The 22,271-nt window shown below is 45.7% G+C and overlaps 1 protein-coding gene across 1 annotated transcript; it reads right to left on the bottom strand.

The window, feature by feature from the left end:
* Positions 1-9,015: 9,015 nt before the first annotated feature.
* Positions 9,016-10,573, bottom strand: MT3 (metallothionein 3). Its single transcript, NM_005954.4, has 3 exons — positions 10,480-10,573; positions 10,166-10,231; positions 9,016-9,261 (listed from the first exon to the last, which is right to left on the bottom strand). The coding sequence occupies exons 1-3, from the start codon at positions 10,508-10,510 to the stop codon at positions 9,152-9,154; spliced, it is 207 nt and encodes a 68-aa protein (NP_005945.1). The 5' UTR covers positions 10,511-10,573; the 3' UTR covers positions 9,016-9,151.
* Positions 10,574-22,271: the final 11,698 nt, after the last annotated feature.

Raw genomic sequence — 22,271 nt, 5'->3', positions numbered from 1 at the left:
TAGACTTAAATTTAAGTGCTAAAACTATAGAACATAGAACACTTAGAAGAAAGCATACGAGAAATCTTTATGCCCTTAGGTTAAACAAAGAGGTCTTAGATATGATACCATAATCACAATTTATCAAGGAAAAAAATTGATGAATTGGACTTTCTCAAAATTAAAAAGTTTTGTGCTTCAAAGACATCATTAATAAAATCAGAAGACAGTCCCAGAAGACTGGGAGAAAACATTTACAAAGCATATATCTGATTAAGGACTGGTATCCAGAATATATAAAGAACTCTTATAATTCAATAATACAAACAATGGTATTTTAAAAAGGGCAAGGCCCGTAATCCAAACACTTTGGGAGGTTGAGGTGGGTGGATCACTTGAGGTCGGGAGTTCGAGACCAGCCTGGCCAACATGGCAAAACCCCGTCTTTACTAAAAATACAAAAATTAGCCAGGTGTGGTGGTACACACCTGTAATCCTAGCTATTCAGGAGGCTGAGGCAAGAGAATCGCTTGAACCCGGGAGGCAGAGGGTGCAGTGAGCCAAGATCATGGCACTGCACTACAGCCTGGGCAACAGAGTCAGACTCCGTCTCAAAAACAAAAACAAATTAGCCAGGTGTGGTGGCATGCGCCTGTGGTCCCAGCTACTCGGGAGGCTGAGTCACGAGAATTGCTTGAGCCCGGGAGGCAGAGGTTGCAGTGACCCGAGATCACGACACTGCACTCAAGCCTGAGGAACAGCAAGACTCTGTCTCAAATAATAATAATAATAATAATAATAATAATAATAATAATAATAAATAAAAATAAACTGGCAAAAATGCATACTCAAAATAATTGAAAGCAGGGACTCAAACAGATATTTGTATAACAATATTCATAGCAGCATTACACATGATAGCCAAAAAATGGAAACAGCCTGAGCGTCCATTGATGAATGAATGGATAAACAAAATATGGTATAGACATGCAATGGAAAATTTATTCAGCCTTAAGAGAGAATGAAATTTTAACACATCTTACAACATAGATGAACCTTAAAAATGTTATGATGGCTGGGTGCGGTGGCTCACACCTGTAATCCCAGCACTTTGGGGGGCCGAGGTGGGCAGATCACGAGGTCAGGGGTTCAAGACCAACCTGGCCAATATGGTGAAACCCTGTCTCTACTAAAAATACAAAAATTAGCCGGGCATGGTGACGCACACCTGTAGTCCCAGCTACTCGGGAGGCTGAGGCAGGAGAATTGCTTGAACCCGGGAGGCGGAGGTTGCAGTGAGCCAAGATCATGCCATTGCACTCCAGCCTGGGCAACAGAGGGAGACTCCATCTCAAAAAAAAAAAATTATGCTAAATGAAATAAGCCAGACACAAAAGGACAAACACTGTATGATCCCAGCTTATATGAAGAAAGTAACATAGTCAAATCCACAAAGACAGACAGTAAAATGGTGGCCCCAGGGCTGGGCGGTGGGGGATGGGGGGGTGGCATGGAGTTAGTATTTTATGGATAGAGTTTCAGTTTGGCAAGATGGAAAAGTTCTGGAGTTGGATGATGGTGACGGTTCACAACAATGTAAATGTACTTAAAGCCACTGCACTGTACACTTAAAAATGGTACATTTTATGTTGTGTATATTTTACCACAATAAAAGAGGAAAAAATGGGCAAAATCTTCTAATAGACATGTCACCAAAGAAAATACATGAATGGCTAATAAGCACATGAAAAGATGCTTAACATCATGAGTCACTAGGGAAATGCAAATTAAAACCACAATGAGGCCGGGCGTGGTGGCTCACGCCTGTAATCCCAGCACTTTGGGAGGCCAAGGTGGGCAGATCACAAGGTTAAGAGATCGAGACCATCCTGGCAAAACTAAAACAAAACAAAAATTAGCTGGGCGTGGTGGCACACGCCTGTAATCCCAGCTACTCCGGAGGCTCAGGCAGGAGAATCACTTGAACCTGGGAGGCGGCGGTTGCAGTGAGCCAAGATCGTGCCACTACACTCCAGCCTGGCGACAGAATGAGACCCTGACTCAAAAAAAAAAGACAAAAAAAAAACAAAAAAAACCCCACAACAGTGAGATACTACTTTATACCTGCTAGAATGGCTATCATAAAAAAGATAGATAACAAAAAGTGTTGGTGAGAATGTGCAGAAATTGAAATGCTTATGCATTGCTGGTGGAAATGTTAAGTGGTTAACCACTTTAGTACCATATGACCCAGTAATTCTACTCCTAGATATCAACCCAAGAGAAATAAAAATATATGGCAAAGCAGAGCACAGTGGCATGCACCTGCAGTCCCAGCTACTCAGAAGGCTGAAGTAGGAAGATCAATTGAACCCAGGAGTTCAAGGCCAGCCTTGGCAACATAGCAAGACCCCCATCTCTAAAATATACATATATGTATATATCCACACAAAGACTCATGCACAAATGTTTACGGCCATTTATAAACATAGCTATCATCCAAAATAGCAAAAAATGACAGCAACTCAAAAGTCCATCAATTGGTGAATGGATAAACAAAATACAATATCTAAACACTACTCAGTAATGTAAAGGAAGAACAAATTAGTAAGACATACAACAAAGTGGAATGAATCTCAAAAATATTACGTTAAGTGAAAGAAGCCAAATGCAAAAGACTACATATTGTATGATTCCATTTATATAAAATGTCTAGAAAAGGCAAACCTATAGAAACAGAAGGCAAGTCAGTGGTTGCCTAGGGGTGGGGTAGGAGCAGGGATTAACTACAAATAGGCACAAGGGAACTTTTGGATGATGGAAATGTTCTAAAACTGGACTGTGGAGTTGGTTTCACCACTCTAAAAATTTGCTAGTGTCATTGGATTGTACCCTTACAATGGGTGAATTTTATGACATGTAAACTATACATTGATAAGGGTGTTAAAAAATGAAAGAATACCACAAGGAGGCCAGAGACTTTGAAAACTTTCTGAAAAATGAAAAGCAGATGGAAGACAATCAGTGACCAAAATATATAAAGAGCTTCTACAAATCAATAAGAAAATGACAAATAACTGAATGTAGAAAGAACAAAGAGCGTGAAACAGCAGTGCACAGAAAATGACAACTAATAAACCAGTAGGAAAATGCTGAACCTCACTGCTAAAAGAAAAGATGCGATTTAGAACCTAGGATGTCATTTTTCACCCACCAGGTCGACAAAATGTAAGGTTAATACCTAGGTCTGATGGAGGGATAAAGCACTGAAAATTCTCAGACACTGCAGGTGGAATGCAAATTGGAACAGCCTCAGTGGAGGGCTGTCTGGCAGGATATGTGAAAAGTAATAAGGGCTATTTCCTGTGCTTCAGTGATTACACATCTCAGCTTATAACTCAGAGAAACTCACTGGCACAGGTGCACAGTCTGCATATTGAAAAAAGTGGAAGCCACCTAAATGTCCATCCATGAGTCTGTAAGACAGTTGCAAAATGAACTATGATATAACCATTCCATGATGTTTTCTGTAGCAGTTATTAGATCTTTATCTCTTAACATGGAAAAATTGTCAAGACATTTTCTTTTTCTTTCTCTCTCTCTTTTTTTTTTTTTTTTGAGACAGGGTTGTGCTATGTTGCCCAAGCTGGAGTGCAGTGGCACGATCATAGCTCACTGCTCCTTCAAACTCCCAGGCTCAAGTGTTCCTCCCACTTCAGCCTCCCAAGTAGCTAGGACTACAAGTGTGTGCCACCGTGCCTGGCTCATTTTCTAATTTTTTGGAAAGACGGGGTCCCACTTCTCACTATGTTGCCCAGGCTGGCCTTGAACTCCTAGGCTCAGGTGGTTCTCCCACCTTGTCTTCTCAAAGTGCTGGGGTTATAGGCGTGAGCCACCATGCCTGGCCAAGACATATTGTTGAGTGAAAAAAAGGTAAGTGGTACTATTCACTTGCATACTTAAAAATTAGTCAAACAGAAGTGAAACATTAATATATGTAAAGCTAAAGATTCTCCCGCCTGATTCTCCTGGAAAATCCCATTCCCTTTCTATACATTTGTATTCATATATACACAAATGTGGAGTTTTTATTTCTCTTTTTACATAATTGGCATTATACTATAAGTATTGTTTAGCATTATATGATACACTCTGTTCTACGGCTTCTTCTTTTTTTTTTCTTTCACTTAATGGTAAGTTGTGGAGGTGTTTCCACTGCATTATCCAAGCGTTACCTCATTCTTTCTATTAGATGTTCATTATGATTTTTTTTTTTTTTTGAGACAGGCTCTTCCCCAGTCTGGAGTACAGTAGGGTGTTCTTGGCTCACTGAAACCTCTACCTCCTGGGTTTAAGCAATTCTCCTGCCTCAGCCACGTGAGTAGTTGGGATTACAGGCATGTACCACCACCTGGCTAATTTTTGTATTTTTAGTAGAGATGGGGATTCGCCATATTGGTCAGGTTGGTCTCAAACTCCTGGCCTCACGTCATCTGCTTGCCTCGGCCTCCCAAAGTGCTGGGATTACAGGCGCGAGCCACCGCACCTGGCTCATTATGATCATTTTTAAAAACTACTTCTCTACTAAAGGGTATTTAGCTTGTTTTGAGACTTCTGCTGATACAGATGATAATACAGTCCTGGGTGAAGGTATATACTTGTTAAATTTCAGTAACTACTGTTAAGTAGGTATATCCCCAAAGTGGCTGTACCTATTTACACTCCAGCAGAGGATGGAGGTATGTAACCAGTCCCCCACCCCTCACTATTAATAAAAAATAACAACCTTTTATGATTTTGCCAAGTGAATGACAAAATGTTATTTTAGTTTCTATTTCCTTGATAGAATGAAGTAAAACATTGATTCTATTTCATTTCATTTGTTCTTTAGCCTTTGGAGTTTATTTTTCCATGAATTCCTTAGTTATATCCTTTGCCTAATTTGTTTTTTTCTTTTCTTGAGATGGAGTATTGCTCTGTGGCCCAGGCTGGAGTACAATGGCGCGATCTTGGTTCACAGTAACTTCCGCCTCCTGGGTTCAAGTGATTCTCCTGCCTCAGCTTCCCAAGTAGGTGGGATTACAGGCACCCGCCACCACACCTGGCTAATTTTTGTATTTTTAGTAGAGACAGGGCTTTGCCATGTTGGCTCGAACTCCTGACCTCAGGTGATCCATCCACCTTGGCCTCCCAAAGTGCTGGGATTACAGGCGTGAGCCACTGCACCCGGCCTTTTGCCTAATTTTTAAATTGTCATCTATTTCTTATCTATTAATAGAAACTATTTATATATTGTAGATAATGATCTTTTGTCAAACGTGTGTGTGTATGTGTACAAAAGATCAATATGTACGTAGACAGTAGTACCCCTTATCCACAGGGGATACTTTCAAGATCCCCAGTGGGTGCCAAAGCTGTGGATAGTACCGAACCCTATATATACTATGTTTTTTCCTATGTGTACATATGTATGATGAAGTTTAATTTATACATTAGGCACAATAAGCGATGAACAAATAATAGAACAATTATAACAACATACTGTAATAAAAGTTATATGAATGTGATCTCCCTCTCTCATCTCATAACATCTTATTGTATGTAATATTTTTGGACTGCAGTTGATTGTAGGTAACTGGAAAGTGAAACTGTGGATAAGCGGGGACTACTATATACACACACTATATGAGTCAGCTCGGGCTGCTATAACAAAATACTGTAGACTGGACAGCTTAACCAACAGATTTATATTTTCACAGTTCTGGAGGCTGGAAGTCCACGATCAAGGTGCCAGCATGGTCAGTTTCTTGTCCTGGCTCATAGGCCGCCCCCATCTTGCCATCTTCACAAAGAAGAGGTGTACTCACGTGACCTCTTCTTTGTGCACAAGAGGAGAGAGTGAGCAAGTGAACTCTTGGTGACTCCCCTACAAGGACACTAACCCTATAGTTGGAGGGCCCCACCCCTGTAACTTCATTTAACCTAAATTACCTCATTATAAACCCTGTCTCCAAATACAGTCACATTGGGACTTTTGGCTTCATCATGAATTTTGTTGAGGGGACACAATTAAATCCACAGCACACAGTATATTAATAGAAACTATTGTCCTTCGTCATTTAGCTTTGTTTGTTGTTTAAAATTGTAAAATACGATGACATAAAATTTGCCATCTTAAAGATTTTTAAGTGTCCAGTTCAGTAATGACAAGTATATTCAGATTCTCTGCGACCCATCTCCAGAACCCTTTTCATCTTGCAAAACTGAAACTCTGTACTGATTAAACAACTCTCAATTCCCACCTTGTATTAGTTTGTTTTCACACTGCTATAAAGATACTATCTGAGACTGGGTAATTTGTAAAGAAAAAAGATTTAATTGACTCACAGTTCCGCATGGCTGGGTAGGCCTCAGGAAACTTATAATCATGGTAGAAGGCAAAGGGGAGGCAAGCACCTTCTTCACAGGGTGGCAGGAGAGAGAGAGGACAGAGGGGGAACTGCCGAACTCTTTCAAAACCATCAGCTATCATGAGAACAGCATGAGGGAGACCATCCCCATGATCCAGTCACTTCCCACCAGGTCCCTCCCCTGATTACAATATGAGATGAGATTTGGGTGGGGACACAGAGCCAAACCATATCATCCCTCCCTCCAGCCCCAGCAACTTCCATCCTACACTTACACCTGTCTCTGTGTAGATAGACTATAACGGCTCTAAGTGTCTCATACGCATGGAGTCACACAGAATTTGTCTTTGGGTGATGGGCTTGTTTCACTCAGCATAATGTCCTCAAGATTCATTCATGTTGTAGCATATGTCAAATTTCCTTGCTTTTTAAGGTTGAATAATATTCCTTTGTATGTATATAACACACTTTGTTTATCTGTTCATCTGTCAATGGACACTTGGGTTGCTTCCACTTTTTGGTGATTATAAATAATCCTATGAACATGTGTATAAGAATACCACTTCAAGACTCTGCTTCCAATTCTTTGCGGTATACCTAGAAGTGGAATTGCTGGATCATATGGAATTCTATTTTTAACTTTGGGAACTATAGTTTTCCACAGCACTGCACCATTTTACATTCCTACCAGCAAGGCACAAGGGTTCCAATGTCTCTACATTCTGGCTAACACTTTTAATTTTGTTTTTCCGATACTAGCCATCGTAGTGTATATGAGGTGATTTTGCTTCTTTTTTTATGCTTTTTGTAACACGAGGCAAGCCAGAAGCAAGAAAACAATGCGTGCTTAAGTTTAGGGGGCTACCCTATAGTTAGACAGCCTGTATTCAAATCCTGGCTATACCACACCACTCTAGCTGTGTGTCCTCATGCAAATTTCCCCAACCCCTACTGCCCCATCTGTAAAATGAAGTTAAAAATCATACTGATAGCCTTGGCAACCTGGCAAAACCCAGCCTCTACCAAAAAAAAAAAAAATTAGCTGGGAGTGATGGGATGCACCTATAGTCCCAGCTACTCGGGAGGCTGAGGTGGGAGGATTGTTTGAGCCCTGGAGGTCCACACTGCCCTGATGGCACCACTGCACTCCAGCCTGAGAAAAAGAAAAAAAGTCTGCCTCTAATCCCAGCACTTTGGGAGGCCAAGGCAGGTGGATCACTTGAGCTCAAGAGTTCGAGACCAGCCTGGGCAACATGGTGAAACCCCATCTCTACAAAAATTAGCCAGACATGTAAATTGTTCCAACACCTTTCACTGAGTAGTGTGTACTTTCCCACTGGTTTGATCATCTCTTACTTCCAGCAACACAGAGGTTTGTTTTTGAACTGTCTTCAGTCCAACTGATCTCTTCCTGACCCTCCACAATTTTCCAGAGCTTTGGGAACGAGTGGAGCTACCAGGTTGGAGCGAGCTCCCTTTGTTGTTCCTTTTCAAAGCTGGCTTGACTTTCCTTGCATTCTCCTTTTCTAAACTCAGCCTGTTAGGCTATATATATATATATATATATATGGTGAGCTTTTGAAATAACTGTCAGCAAAAAACTAACTTGGAGGAAAAGTGTTGTGTTCACAGCATTGTATCCTCTTACTGGGAAACTTTTGTTTCCCAGAATTCATTTCTCCCTTCTTAGCTCACCTAGGTAAACCTGAGTGTTCTCTTTCACCAAGGACTGGATCACAACCACTGTGGATAAAAGCTCTTATTACCCTACTTCCTCTTGAAGACAGGAGGGGCTGGAGACAAACCGCCAAATGAGAAGATGTGAAAGGGAACTGAACAACGTGCTTTGGGGAAACAGGCTATTCAGGGTGGTGACCTTGGGAATGCAGCTGACAGTCAGCCAAGACAAGCCCCTGGGCCTCCTGGACTCTCCTCTAATAACTCTGAAAACAGGCAGCTTTGCAGGAGCAACTAGAAAATCCCCAAATTCACAGGCCCTACAGGCTAGGGGCTGGCCTTAACTCCCCCTAACTCTATCCTACAGATGAGGAAGCTGAGGTTTGGAGGTTGGAGAGGGACAAACCTAGATGAGCCTGGTCTCTCCTGTTTCCCAGACTTGAACTTGACTTAGCAGGAGGGTGGGGTGCCATCTGAAGGTGGGGGAGAATGCACTCTGTCCCCTGGGCTCCACCCCAGCCCCAAACAGACCAGTGGCCAAGTCTCAGTGTTTCTTTTTCTTTTTTTTTTTTGAGACAGAGTCCTGCTCTGTCGCCCAGGCTAGTGTGCAGTGCCGTGACCTCAGCTCACTGCAACCTCCACCTCCTGGGTTCAAGCAATTCTCCTGCCTCAACCTCCCGAGTAGCTGGGATTACAGGCACATGCCATCATGCCCGGCTAATTTTTTTATTTGTAGTACAGACGGGGTTTCACCATGTTGGCCAGGCTGGTCTCGAACTCCTGACCTCAGGTGATCCACCTGCCTCGGCCTCCCAAAGTGCTGGGACTACAGGCGTGAGCCACTGCACCCAGCCAGGGTTTCACTCTTAACTGTGTGGCTCCCTTGGAATAGGCTCCCCCACTGCTCCACATCCTTCCCCCCTTTAAGAAGAGACCAGTCCTTGGCTCATGCTGTTCATGGGATTTATTGTCATTCCTCCAAGGTCAGCAGGGGAAGGGGACACCAGCCACACTTCACCACAGGCATAGGTGGCACTGAGCCACCTGGCACTATCTCCACGTGCTCCACACGGAGGGGTGCCTTCTCACTGGCAGCAGCTGCACTTCTCTGCTTCTGCCTCAGCTGCCTCTCCGCCTTTGCACACACAGTCCTTGGCACACTTCTCACACTCCGCAGGGCAGCAGGAGCAGCAGCCTGCAGATAAAATGGAAGATGACCACTCTCTGATGCACACTCCCCCAATTCGTCCCCATCAAAGGGGAGGGAAGGGTGCTGGGTGGGGAGTCATCCTGGTTCATTCAGCCAGGGCTAGTCGCAGCCCCCTTCTTAGTCTCACACCTGCTTTGACTCAGCATCTATGTCGCGGCAGTGGCATCCTGCACCTCCACAGGAGTGAGGTACCCAGGAAATGACCAGAGCCCCTTGGGTGGATGCCAGGAAGTCCTGGGGGCTGGTGGGCTTAAGCCCAGCTTAGGTGGGTACTAGGCCTTAAGGAGAAAGCATCACAGGGTAAACGACCTTGAAAGGGGCCTCAAAGGATAAACTTGGGAGGGGCAGATATGGTGCAGATGTAAGGGGCCCAGGAAAGCCGTGGGGAGGCGGTGGGGACCTGTGCCTGGTTTCATACCTAGGGAAGAAGGGAGCCTTCCTCCCACCTCTTACTCCCTATGCATATTACACTGCCGTGAGCTGGGGAGATTTTGAGATCAAACTGAGAGGATCCGTAAGGCCGGAGAGAGGCCAAGGGACCGGAACTCCAGAGCTGAGCCGCAGCCTCACTAATGGCTTCCCCAGGTTTTGGGGAGTTTTTGAGGGATGGGTCGGGAAAGGTTGGACCAGTGTGGCAGTCCTCAATCCCAGCTGCCATTGGAGTCTTCTGGGGATTTACAAAAACCTCTCGTCCCACGCCTAGGCCATCAATTCCTGGGTGTGGGGCAGGGGCATCTGTATTTTAATGTCTGCCCGGGTGGTTCTATTCCAGCAAGAGTCAGAAACCACGGGATCGGGGCCTGGCTGTCTCTCCACATCCTGCGTGGTGAGACACCGACTCCGCAGAGCAGAGGGGGCGGCGGCAGAGGGGAAGGGTCCCCGCACTCACTCTTCTTGCAGGAGGTGCATTTGCATCCCTCGCACTTGCAGGAGTCCGCGCAGGTGCAGGAGCCACCTAGAGAGGGCGACGCCACAGGAAGGGTTAATGTGGACGAACTCGGGTCCCCACGCCTGTCACGAGGAGATGGGGTGCCAAGTCTCCCTGTTCTCCGCGACACAGGCATGCCCGCCCTTCACGAGGTGAAGAATAGGGAATCAGGGGCCCTTCCCCCAAGTGTCCTTGAGCGAAGGCGCAGGGCGTGGGTTTCTTTGCAGGTACAAGGGCGCGCAGTGCGCAGGATGCGAGCGGGGGCGGGGGCTCACCAGAAGGGCAGGGGCAGGTCTCAGGGTCCATGTCGAGGAGAGCAGCAGCTGGAGGCGGTGAACGGGCTTCTCCAAGCAACTGGACGCGCGGCTTGGCTAGTGGCAGCAGGTGGCGATGCTTTTATAGCCTCGGGCGGGGGCGCGCATGCCAAGCCCGCTGGGCGCCCGCCCCTGCGCACCGCGCCCGCTCTTTCCGTTTGTGCGCTTGGGCTCCGGCGCACGCACTGCATCTGTCGCCCGCCCCTGCCGTGTGTGTGCACTGCCGGGGCCCGCTCGCCCACGCCCGCGCGTGCGCCCCCACTCCCACCCCGCATCCGCGTGCACGACCCACTCGCCGCCGCTGTGCGCGCACTGCCAGCCCACTCCCCGCGTGGGTCCCGCAGGGGACGTGCTCGCCGCAGCAGCCGCCACTGCGTGGAAGCGCGCACGTACCATCTCCGAAAGTGGAGAAAAAGGCGCTTTGCGTATTTCCCAGCTCTTCCCTGCCTCTCTTCCCCTTCATTCTAGAATTCTCCAGGACGCCAGATCTGTTCAGACGGGTTGCTGAACTGGGGGCAGAAAGAACCTGCTCACGATGAGCCCGACACTGACTCTTGCGCCCTCCGAGTGTCACTGGCAAGGGGCGTGTTCCATTTCCCCGCTGTCCTGCCTGGCATCTTCAGATCCTTGACTCCTAACCCTCCATTATACAGATAAGAAAAAGTGAGGCCAGAGAAGCAGAAATGTGCCTGGGTCCCAGAATAAGCCTGAGGCCGAGCCAGGCCTAGAACTCAGAACTCAGGTATCTAGAGGGATTGTCAGTGGGGGGCATGTTAAACTCAAGGCAGGTCAGTGAGATTTTTCTATTTATAAAAAGGAGGCCGGACGTGGTGGCTCACGCCTGTAATCCCAACACTCTGGGAGGCCGAGGCCGGCGGATCACCTGAGGTCGGGAGTTCGAGACCAGCCTGACCAACATGGAGAAACCCCATCTCTACTAAAGATACAAAATTAGCCCGGCATGGTAGCAGGTGCCTGTAATCCCAGCAACTCAGGTGGCTGAGGCAGGAGAATCACCTGACCCTGGGAGGCGGAGGTTGCAGTGAGCCCAGATCGCACCACTGCACTTCAGCCTGTGCAACAAGAGGGAAACTCCATCTAAAAAAAAAAAAAAAAAAATTATCTGGATGTGGTGGCATGCACCTGTAGTCCCAGCTACTTGGGAGGCTGAGGCGGGAGGATTGCTTAAGCCCAGGAGGTTGAGGAGGCTGCAGTAAGTAAGCCTTATTGCACTACTGCACTCCAATCTGGGTCACAGAGCAAGACCCTGTCTCAAAAAGAAAAGAGAGCCTAGGTAAAATAAGATTGATCAATGTTTATATGAATATAAGGGATTTGGGTGCAAAATGAAAGGAAAAGAGGTCTAAGCTGCCAAGGAGAATCATTTGTGACTGAGCAGGGTAGCGTGAGTGAGAATGAGACCCCGAGAAGTGGAGAGGAGAGAGGTCATTGCTCCTCAAAAACGAGGGCCATTCAGGGGTCTAGATGAAGTTTGGGGGGCAGCAAAGAAGGGACCAGAGCTGGGAGAAGACCTCTGTAAAAAGCATTTTAAAAAATGTTATTGTGAAGTGTGTGAGTGTCACTCTCTCTGCTGTCCCTCTGAGACTTTCTGAAAATCTTCCTTGCTTGCTAATGCTTTCACAGAAGGGGTTGTGTTTCGGGGTACGTGGAGCTGAGCATTAAGATGACTCCCAAGGCCAGTGGCTCATGTCTGTAATCCCTATGCTTTGGGAGGTCAAGGTGAGAATCACTTGAAGCCAGGAGTTTGAGACCAGCCTAGGCAACATAGTAAGACCCCATCTCTACAAAATAAATAAATAAAATAAAAATTTAAAAAATCAGCCAGTAGTGGTGGGGATCACATGTACCCCTAGCTACTTGGGAGGCCAGGGTGGGAGGATTGCTTGAGCCCAGGAGTTTGAGGCTGCAGTGAGCTATGATAACACCACTGAACTGTAGCCTGGATGACAGAGCAAGACCCTGTACCTCCCCCGCAAAAAAGATGGCCCCCAAATGAAGGCAGGGACAGAGGAGGTGTTTGACAAAGAACTAGTCACACTGGAGTAACCCAATAAGGAAATTCATCCTGAGATGAGAATTTTTAAAGCAAAGCCCGCACTGTGCAGGGCGAGAGCAGCTGAATGCTGTGCTACCACGGGAGAGGGGTAGCCAGGCCAGCCAAGGCTAACCAAGGTCCAAAATAGAGCCTTGTATGGAGAGTCAGAGGCTATATTCAAGTGTAGGCTCTCACACGGACAGTGTAGGTTCCAGCCACTGGACAATTGGAATATCAGATCTCAGAGTTCCCCAACTCTAGCATCAGCCAGTCATCTGTTTCTTTGCTTCCATTTTGCCTAAGGGCACTCTGGCCTCTTAACTTCTTTGCCCTAGGCCCTGAACCTCAGGGTTTCTGTATCTAGGACCTTCACGCTTGGGATGCACTCAACTGAAGCTGCCTCCCCTGCAATCTCCCTCAGGTCTGTCAGATTTCTTTGGGGTTGAGGCTTCAGAGCTGGCATAGCAACCTCCTTCCTGCCCCAAGGGTGGCCAGGATTTTGAGGGGTCTGAAAACCACAGCATCTTTCTGATACCCCCTACCCCTCATCCTCCATGTGGCCTTCCGTTCTAAGCCTCCATGAGGAGCATGCCGTGCAGGTCTATCGCTCCAGGAGGTCCCTTTCTCCCCTACCTTTATCCTCTCTGACCCCTTGTTAATTCTTACATCTCGAAGTGGCCAGGTGCAGTGGTTCACACCTGTAATCCCAGCACTTTGGGAGGCCGAGGCAAGCGAATCACTTGAGGTCAGGGGTTCGAGACCATCCTGGCCAACATGGTGAAACCTCGTCTCTACTAAAAATTCAAAAAAAATTAGCCAAGCATGGTGGCGGGTGCCTGTAATCCCAGCTACTTGGAGGCTGAGGCAGGAGAATCACTGGAACCCAGGAGGCGGAGGTTGCAGTGAGCCGAGATCGCACCACTGCACTCCAGCCTGGGCGACTGAGCGAGATTCCATCTCAAAAAACAAACAAACAAAAAACAGCTCAAAGTTATTTTGTCTATGTTTCCGTAGCCTGTGATTCTCCTTCCACAGATAACCATGCAAGTCACTCCTTTCTTTACTTCTAAGTCTTTGTTCAAATCTGCTTTCTCTGTGAAGCCCATCATGATCACACTACGTAAAATTGCATGCCTCGATGCCCCAGTACTTTTCATCTCCTTTACCTTGCTCTATCTTCCCTTTTTCCATAGCATTTAACATTTACTAGCAAACTAAATAATTTACTTATTTGTAATGATTATATGTCGTCTGTCTCCTGCTAGAATTTAAGCAAGAAAGAGCAAGGATCACTGTTTTTGTTCACTGGTGTCTCTGAAGTGCCTATAACAGTGCCTGGTACGTGGTAGACATTCAGGACACATTTACTTGATGAGTGAATGAATGAATGAGTCTGAGGTCATGCTAGTTGAGTTTACAGTGTGACTCTGCCGCTTAATAGTAATACGGCAGCCAGGCATGGTGGCGTGCACCTGTAGTTCCAGCTACTTGGAAGGCTGAGGTAGGAAGATCATTTGAGCCCAGGAGTTCAAGGCAAGCCAGGGCAACATGGCAAGACCCCTTCTCTCTCTAAAGCAAACAAACAAACACCATAGCAAGTTACTAGCTAGGTCAACTTAACATTTCTGTGCCTTGAGTTGCTCAATGGTAAAACGAAAATAATACTAATAGTAATAATAGTTCCTGCTTAATAGATTTGTCAGGGACTTAAATGGGATGGCATTGGGAAAAGACTTGGAGCAGGGTCCTCACCACATTGGTTCTCACCATTTACAAATGAAGAAGTCAGGTGAGGACTCTGCAGGGGGCCTGGGTTCCTAAAGCTCCTGCTTGACACCCAGTCTCATGGTTGGCCTCAGCTCTGTGCTTCCTGAAACACAGTCACCTGTGGCCTGTAGTTGATACAGTACTGCAGACATCAGCATGGGCCACCAGTCATAGACATCAGTCCTCAATCGAGACCTTGCGCCCAATCCTAGAGCTTCCTGGCAGAAGGGAGTTCACAGAAACTTTAACTTTTTCAATTAGACTGGGGCCAAGAGGCAAGACCAGTAGGCTGAGGGGTGGAGATCACTCAAGGTCACACTAAGGGATTTTCCATCCCCATATGATCCCCAGATGATCTCAGAAAAAAAGCAAGACCCCCAGCAAGCCCACACCCTGACTGAAATTGGTCCAGTGCAGGATTAAGACTATTGCATCGCTCTCAAAGAGTTTCCCAATTTACTATCCTGGGACTGAAAAATTGGCTAGGATTTTAGGAGCCTGGGCACACAGTGTACAAAAAGAGTTTGCAAATATGCAAATCTACAAATAAAGTCATTTCTTGGAGAGATCCGGATTTATTAATGAACAATTTTGTGCACAGGGAAGCTGAAGCTAGAGAAAAGGCGGGGGTCTAGAAGTCCCGTGGTTTCTAGTTTCAGCTTGTCTAGTAAGTGGTGTAGTGAACCCAAGGAAGCCTCTCCCCAGTTTGTGCCCCACTTTTCACATGGGTTGACCAGATGACTGCTAGTGGCTACTATGGACAATGTCTTCCACTTGCTGGGAGTTTACCATGTGCCAGGTACCATATAGAGCACCATGGGGAGCTGATCTCATGTTATCTCACTGACTCCTTCACATATTATCTCATTGACTCCTTCCAGTTACCCTTATGGTAGGCATTGCTAACTCCCTTTTGCAAGGGAGGAAATCGAGGCTCAGATTCAGTGGCTTGTCCTGGAGGCAGACCCTGGACTTAAATCTAAGTGCATTACTCTTCAGCCTGCCCCGATGTCTTTAATTCAATCCACTATGAATTCTAGTTATTAGGCATGCTACCCGCCAGGCTCCTGGATACTTGATAATGCTTTGATACCCCAAGCAAACTTTTACGGAATTGCGGAATCTTCATCTGCAACAAAGAAAGTCATCCTGCCTCCTCTCTCTACCCATAAGGCAGGTCCTCGACCTCTGGAAATGCCCCATTCAGGCCCTACATGACCTGCACAGTCCTGACTCAGCCCACAGCCTGGCCTGTGATAGTGTATGTGGTTTTCCACACAAGAGAACATCAAAGCACTGACTTTAGGCCAGGCGCGGTGGTTCACGCCTGTAATCCCAGCATTTGGGAGGCCAAAGCGGGTGGATCACTTGAGGTCAGGAGTTCGAGACCAGCCTGCCCAACATGGTGAAACCTTGCCTCTACTAAAAATACCAAAATTAGCTGGGCGTGATGGCGGGCATCTGTAATTGCAGCTACTCGGGAGGCTGAGGCAGGAGAATCACTTGAACCCGGGAGGTGTTGCAGTGAGTTGAGATTGCATCACTGCACTCCAGCCTGGGTGACAGAGTGAGACTCCATCTCAAAAAAACAAAAACAAAAAAACAGAATAGAACAAAACAAAACACTGACTTTAGACCTCTCTGTGAAGGTAGATTCTCCATTCCAAGCAGATCCTGGCCCGGACCAAGTTCCAGCCCACAACAACGGGGTCCCAGCACTTATCTGGAGGAGACCAAATCTCTGAGCTTAGTGCAGTCACTGTGAGCCACAGGAACTAGCTTCCGGGAGCCTACATTCTTTTAGGTCTTTTGTGATGTTGTCTTCCCAATTTTCACTGGATCATTGATGCTCCGAGATCTTGCCCTCAAGTTGGCAAAATGCCCCCCTCCCCTGTCCTATCCTTTGTGGAATCCTAATTAGGGAAAAGGGGTCAGACTGGTGGGACCAGAGAGAGCAAAGAGATAAAGCAAATAAGTTCTAGGTCTACCTTGGCCCAGGACATACGGCCCTCCCATGCAGATAACGTACATAACTCGCAGACTTCCTGCTTACCATCAAACACCTCAATTTATCAAACACCCCCGCTGAGGAAAGAATGCAAGTTAAGCTCCCTGCTGCATTGGTGTTATCAATCAGCCCAAGTTCCATTCTATAAAATCCTCAGAAAGCCTTTGCTTCCTTGCAGTCGGTTCCTCTTCTGCTGGTTTTGCCAGTTGCTCCCCGGCAATGTATTTTCATACTTTCTTTAATAAATCTGCCTTCCTTTATCTACAACTGTCTTGGTAAATTCCTTTACCCCCGCATCCCTAGCTCAGGTTCCCTGAGTACCTGAAATGTCCTTTGAATGTTGAGTGAATGAATGCCTGTGAGAATTGAGTGAGTCTGACTTTGGGCTAATTATTTTTGTGGGACCCCTTGAAGGTTGAGTCATGAAGAGTCAGGCTTAGTTAAATACAGAGCCATGAAGTTACCCTGTAGCCCCCACCATCCTGCTTGGCTTAAAAGAGTAACATGGTGGTGAATTTCATTTCAGACCACAAACATCTGTTGAGCATCACCTTAATCCAGACTTTGTGTTAGGAATGCCAGATACAAAGATTAGTAAGAATGTCCTTCTTCAAGAACCCACAGCCTGGGTAAAGAGCCCAGATAGCTGTCGCTCACCTATGACATCCTTGCCCCACTTACACCAGGGTTTGAGTAGGGATCCTGAGATTCTTTCTGAAAACTCATCCCATGAGTACCATCTGCCTTATTTTAGTAGATAAGGAAACTCAGAGACAGCATAGATTTTGTCCAAAGTCACACAGCAATGTTGTAATGAAGCCGGTACCTGAACCATGTCTCTTGACTCCAAGCCTGATTCCACTGGTCTAGCTTCCCAAAGTGAGATGATTGTATGAAATAACCTTGAATCACATTAAAAATTATTCTCTTTTCAGTCTTAATGAATCTTCCTGGTTGCTCCAAGGACACTCAGCTTGGAGCTAAGATGTCTTCAGTGCCTCTCCTTCTGTCTCTCAGTGCCCAGCTTTTCTCCCTCTCTCTCTCTCCCTCCCTCCCTCCTTCCCTCCCTCCCTCGTTTTTCCTTGAGACGGTCTTGCTCTGCCACCCAGGCTGGAGTGCAGTGGTACAATCATGGCTCACTGCATCCTTGACGTCCCTGGCTCAAGCGATCCTCCCACCTCAGCCTCCTAAGTAGCTGGAACCACAGGTACACACCACCATGCCTGGCTAATTTGTGTGTGTGTGGTTTTCTGGGTATTTTGTTGTTTGTTTGTTTTGGTAGAGTCAGGGTTTCACCATGTTGCCCAGAATGGTCTGGAACTCCTGGGCTTAAGTGATCCTCCTGCCTCAACCTCTCGAAGTGCTGGGATTACAGGCATGAGCCACCGTGCCTGACCCCAGCTCCCCTTTTTAACAGAGAATGGGCTGAGGAGTCAGGAAAGAACAGGGGAGCCCTACCATGCCACAGTATCTAGCTAGACATTTAATAACTTGGCTTTATGTTCTCTGTATTTGTCTCCATGGTTACCTCCTGTTTATGGCAAATGATTCAGCATCTCTTCTACAGTAGTGATATGAGATTTCCTTTTAAAAGAAATTTCAGGCCAGGCGCATTGGCTGATGCCTGTAATCCCAGCACTTTGGGAGGCCAAGGCGGGCAGATCACCGCCTTGATCAGGAGTTTGAGACCAGCCTGGCCAATATGGTGAAACCCTGTCTCTACAAAAAATACAAAAATTAGCTGGGTGTGGTGGCGCATGCCTGTGATCCCAGCTACTCAGGATGCTGAGGCAGGAGAGTCACTTGAACCTGGGAGGCAGAGGTTGCGTCGAGCTGAGATCTTGCCACTGCCCTCCAGCCTGGGAGACGGAGTGAGACCCTGTCTCAAAACAACAAAACAAAAAAAAAAACACTACATATCCTTTTAGGCCCTGCTCAAATACCATGTCCTCCAGGAAGTCTTCACTCCTGCCTGCAGCCAGCTGTAACCTCCCCTCCTTGGCACTTCTGTGGGGTCTTGTCTAGATATATTCTCCCCTACAGGAGAGGAGACAAGACATTCTGACATCTCCAAGACAGACTCTGAGGTCCCTGAAGTTGGGGACTAAGAGGGATGATTCCTTCCCTTCCCCACTCCTGTGCTTAGCAAAGTTCCCTGAGTACCTGAAATGTCCTTTGAATGTTGAGTGAATGAATGCCTGTGAGAATTGAGTGAGTCTGACTTTGGGCTAATTATTTTTGTGGGACCCCTTGAAGGTTGAGTCATGAAGAGTCAGGCTTAGTTAAATACAGAGCCATGAAGTTACCCTGTAGCCCCCACCATCCTGCTTGGCTTAAAAGAGTAACATGGTGGTGAATTTCATTTCAGACCACAAACATCTGTTGAGCATCACCTTAATCCAGACTTTGTGTTAGGAATGCCAGATACGAAGATTAGTAAGAATGTCCTTCTTCAAGAACCCACAGCCTGGGTAAAGAGAAAGCTGCTTAATAAAAGATCAACACATGGGCCAGGTGTGGTGTCTCACGCCTGTAATCCTAGCACTTGGGGAAGCTGAGGCGGGTGGATTGTTTGAACTCAGGAGTTCAAGACCAGCCTGGGCAACATGGTGAAACCCCGTCTCTACAAAAAATTAGCTGTGTGGTGGCACGTGCCTGTGGTCCCAGGCATTTGGGAGGCTGAGGCAGGAGGATCCCTTCAGCCCGGGAGGTCGAGGCTGCAGTGAGCGGGGATCATGACACTGCACTCCAGCCTGAGTGACAAAGTGAGACCCTGTCTCAAAAAAAAAAAAAAAAGAAGAAAGGAAAGAGGGAAGGAAGGAGGGAAGGAAGGAAGGGAGGGAGGGAAAGAAAGAGAGAGAAAGAAAGAAAGAAAAGAAAAGAAAAGAGAAAAGAAAAGAAAAAAGAAAAGAAAAGATCAAAATGCTGCTAGGAGTCTGCAAAAAGAAAAGAAAAGAGAAAAGAAAAGAAAAAAGAAAAGAAAAGAAAAGATCAAAATGCTGCTAGGAGTCTGCATAGTAGATTGGTAGCACCCACGCCATTTTACATAAACCAGTATCCCCTCTCTGCCTTCCTAATTATTAGCTTCCCAGATGCAGGAACAGGCAGCATTCCCTTCTCCCAGGAATGACTTCGGGGCATCAAAGATCCCTCTCACACCTCATTTATCTCAGTGGTTCTCAGCAGTGGGTGGTTTTGCCCCCAGGGGTCATTTGGCAATGTCTGGAAACATTTTTGATAGTGGTAGCGTTTTGGGGACAGTGGTGCTACTGGTGTCTAATGGATAGAAGCCAGGGATACTGCCAAATATCCTAAAATGCACAGGATAATCCCCCAAAACCAAGACTCATCTGGCCCCAAATGTCAATATTGCCAAAGCTGAGAAATCCTGCTCCACTTTTTCCTGTAACAACCCTGTCTTGATTTTTAGCAGCTCAAACATGTAGGGAAAAGAGCCAGGGAAATCAAAAGACCTGCTTCGCAATCCCGGCCTTATGGCCAACTTGCATGTTTGGCCTCTGTCAAATGCAGAGTGTCATGAGCTGCCCCTGCCCCCAAAGGTGTTTGGGGGCTCAAATATGTCAAATCGAAGGAGGACACTTGGGGAAGTAATTTTCTTTTCTTTTCTTTTTTTTATTATTATACTTTAAGTTTTAGGGTACATGTGCACAATGTGCAGGTTAGTTACATATGTATACATGTGCCATGCTGGTGTGCTGCACCCATTAACTCGTCATTTAGCATCAGATATATCTCCTAATGCTATCCCTCCCCCCTGCCCCCACCCCACAACAGTCCCCAGAGTGTGATGTTCCCCTTCCTGTGTCCATGTGTTCTCATTGTTCAATTCCCATCTATGAGTGAGAACATGCGGTGTTTGGTTTTTTGTCCTTGCGATAGTTTACTGAGAATGATGATTTCCAATTTCATCCATGTCCCTACAAAGGACAGGAACTCATCATTTTTTTTATGGCTGCATAGTATTCCATGGTGTATATGTGCCACATTTTCTTAATCCAGTCTATCATTGTTGGACATTTGGCTTGGTTCCAAGTCTTTGCTATTGTGAATAGTGCCGCAATAAACATACGTGTGCATGTGTCTTTATAGCAGCATGATTTATAGTCCTTTGGGTATATACCCAGTAATGGGATGGCTGGGTCAAATGGTATTTCTAGTTGTGGATCCCTGAGGAATAGCCACACTGACTTCCACAATGGTTGAACTAGTTTACAGTCCCACCAACAGTGTAAAAGTGTTCCTATTTCTCCACATCCTCTCCAGCACCTGTTGTTTCCTGACTTTTTAATGATTGCCATTCTAACTGGTGTGAGATGGTATCTCATTGTAGTTTTGATTTGTATTTCTCTGATGGCCAGTGATGATGAGCATTTTTTCATGTGTCTTTTGGCTGCATAAATGTCTTCTTTTGAGAAGTGTCTGTTTATATCCTTTGCATAGGGGAAGTAATTTTCAAGGGAAGGTGGACAGTAAGGCTGGGCACAGAGAAGGGGGAATCCTCCATTTAGCCTATATCTCTTGTCGTCAAATGGCCCAACTTTTCCAAGAAGGTTTCAATTCCAAATATTCTATCCTTTCCTTGTCTTCAAAATTAAATTTGATAATTCATGTCATCTGTGCCTCAGATTTTAAAAACACCTGGGTCTCCACCTGGATCTAGCTCTTCTCCTCAACTCCTCCTCCTTCTTTGTTGATTGTAGAAAATTCTGGAAAAAATGAAAAGTACATATATAACCCCTTTAAATATAAAATTAGAAGCCCACAGTACACGCTGATTTATAAATGACTTTATTTCTTGCTTATCAGTAGATTATGAACATCCATGACATGAATTTCACTTCTATAATTTTATTTTAATAGATTTATTCCATAATTGACTTACCCAGTACCCTACTTTGAGACATTTTGATTGTTTCCAAATCTTCACTATTATAATCCATGCCATGATAAACATCTTGGGAGCATTTGTATGTGTATATTCATGGTTGTTTTTTTCCTTTCCATACAACATTTCTTAAAGTAAAATTTCTGGCTCAAAGAATACACACTATTTTTTTTCCTTTTCAGAATGTATTTATTTATTTTAAAACATGCTACTTCAGAAAATTTTGGGGAATTCTAAAACACAGAAAGAAGGAAAAGTAAAAATTATCTTTTACTGTGATCTGAACACAATCCCTGTTGACATTTAGGATAGTATATTTTGTATTCTATGTGGCTTCTTTTTGAAAAACTACTGCATAACTAATTTATGGCCTATTATCTGTTTAGGTTTTGCTATAACCATTTTCTGTGTTTTTGTTTTTTTTTTTTTGAGACAAGGTCTCACTCTGTCGCCCAGGCTGGAGTGCAGTGGCACGATCTCGGCTCACTGCAACCTCTGTCCCAGGGTTCAAGCGATTCTCCCACCTCAGCATCCCCGAGTAGCAGGTGTGCACCACCACTCCTGGCTACTTTTTTTTGGTATTTTTTGGTAGAAACAGGTGTTTCACCATGTTGGCCAGGTGGATCTCGAACTCCTGACCTTAAGTGATCTGCCCGCTTCGGCCTCTGAAAGTGCTAGGATTACAGGCATGAGCCATAGCACCCGGCCTGTTTTTGTTTTTTTTATAGTCTTAGCTTACTTGAACGTTTTCATGGACTTGGACTTTAGGTTGTTTCCAGTTTTTCACAAATGTAAATAGTACTGCAATGAATCTTTTTGTGAGTAAGGTTGTCTTTCTCTTTTTTCAGACAGAGTCTCACTTTGTCGCCCATGCTGGAGTGCAGTGGTGCAAACATTCACAGCAGCCCTGACTTCCTGACTTCCTGGGCTCGAGTGATCCTCCTGCCTGATCCTCGCAAGTAGCGAGGTGCGCGCCACCACATCCAGCTAATTTTTGTATTAAAATTTTTTTTTTA

The sequence above is a fragment of the Homo sapiens genome, chromosome 16 (genome assembly GCF_000001405.40).
Source record: "Homo sapiens chromosome 16, GRCh38.p14 Primary Assembly".
Classification (NCBI taxonomy): domain Eukaryota; kingdom Metazoa; phylum Chordata; class Mammalia; order Primates; family Hominidae; genus Homo; species Homo sapiens.
This window is presented reverse-complemented; position numbering and strand designations above follow the sequence as displayed.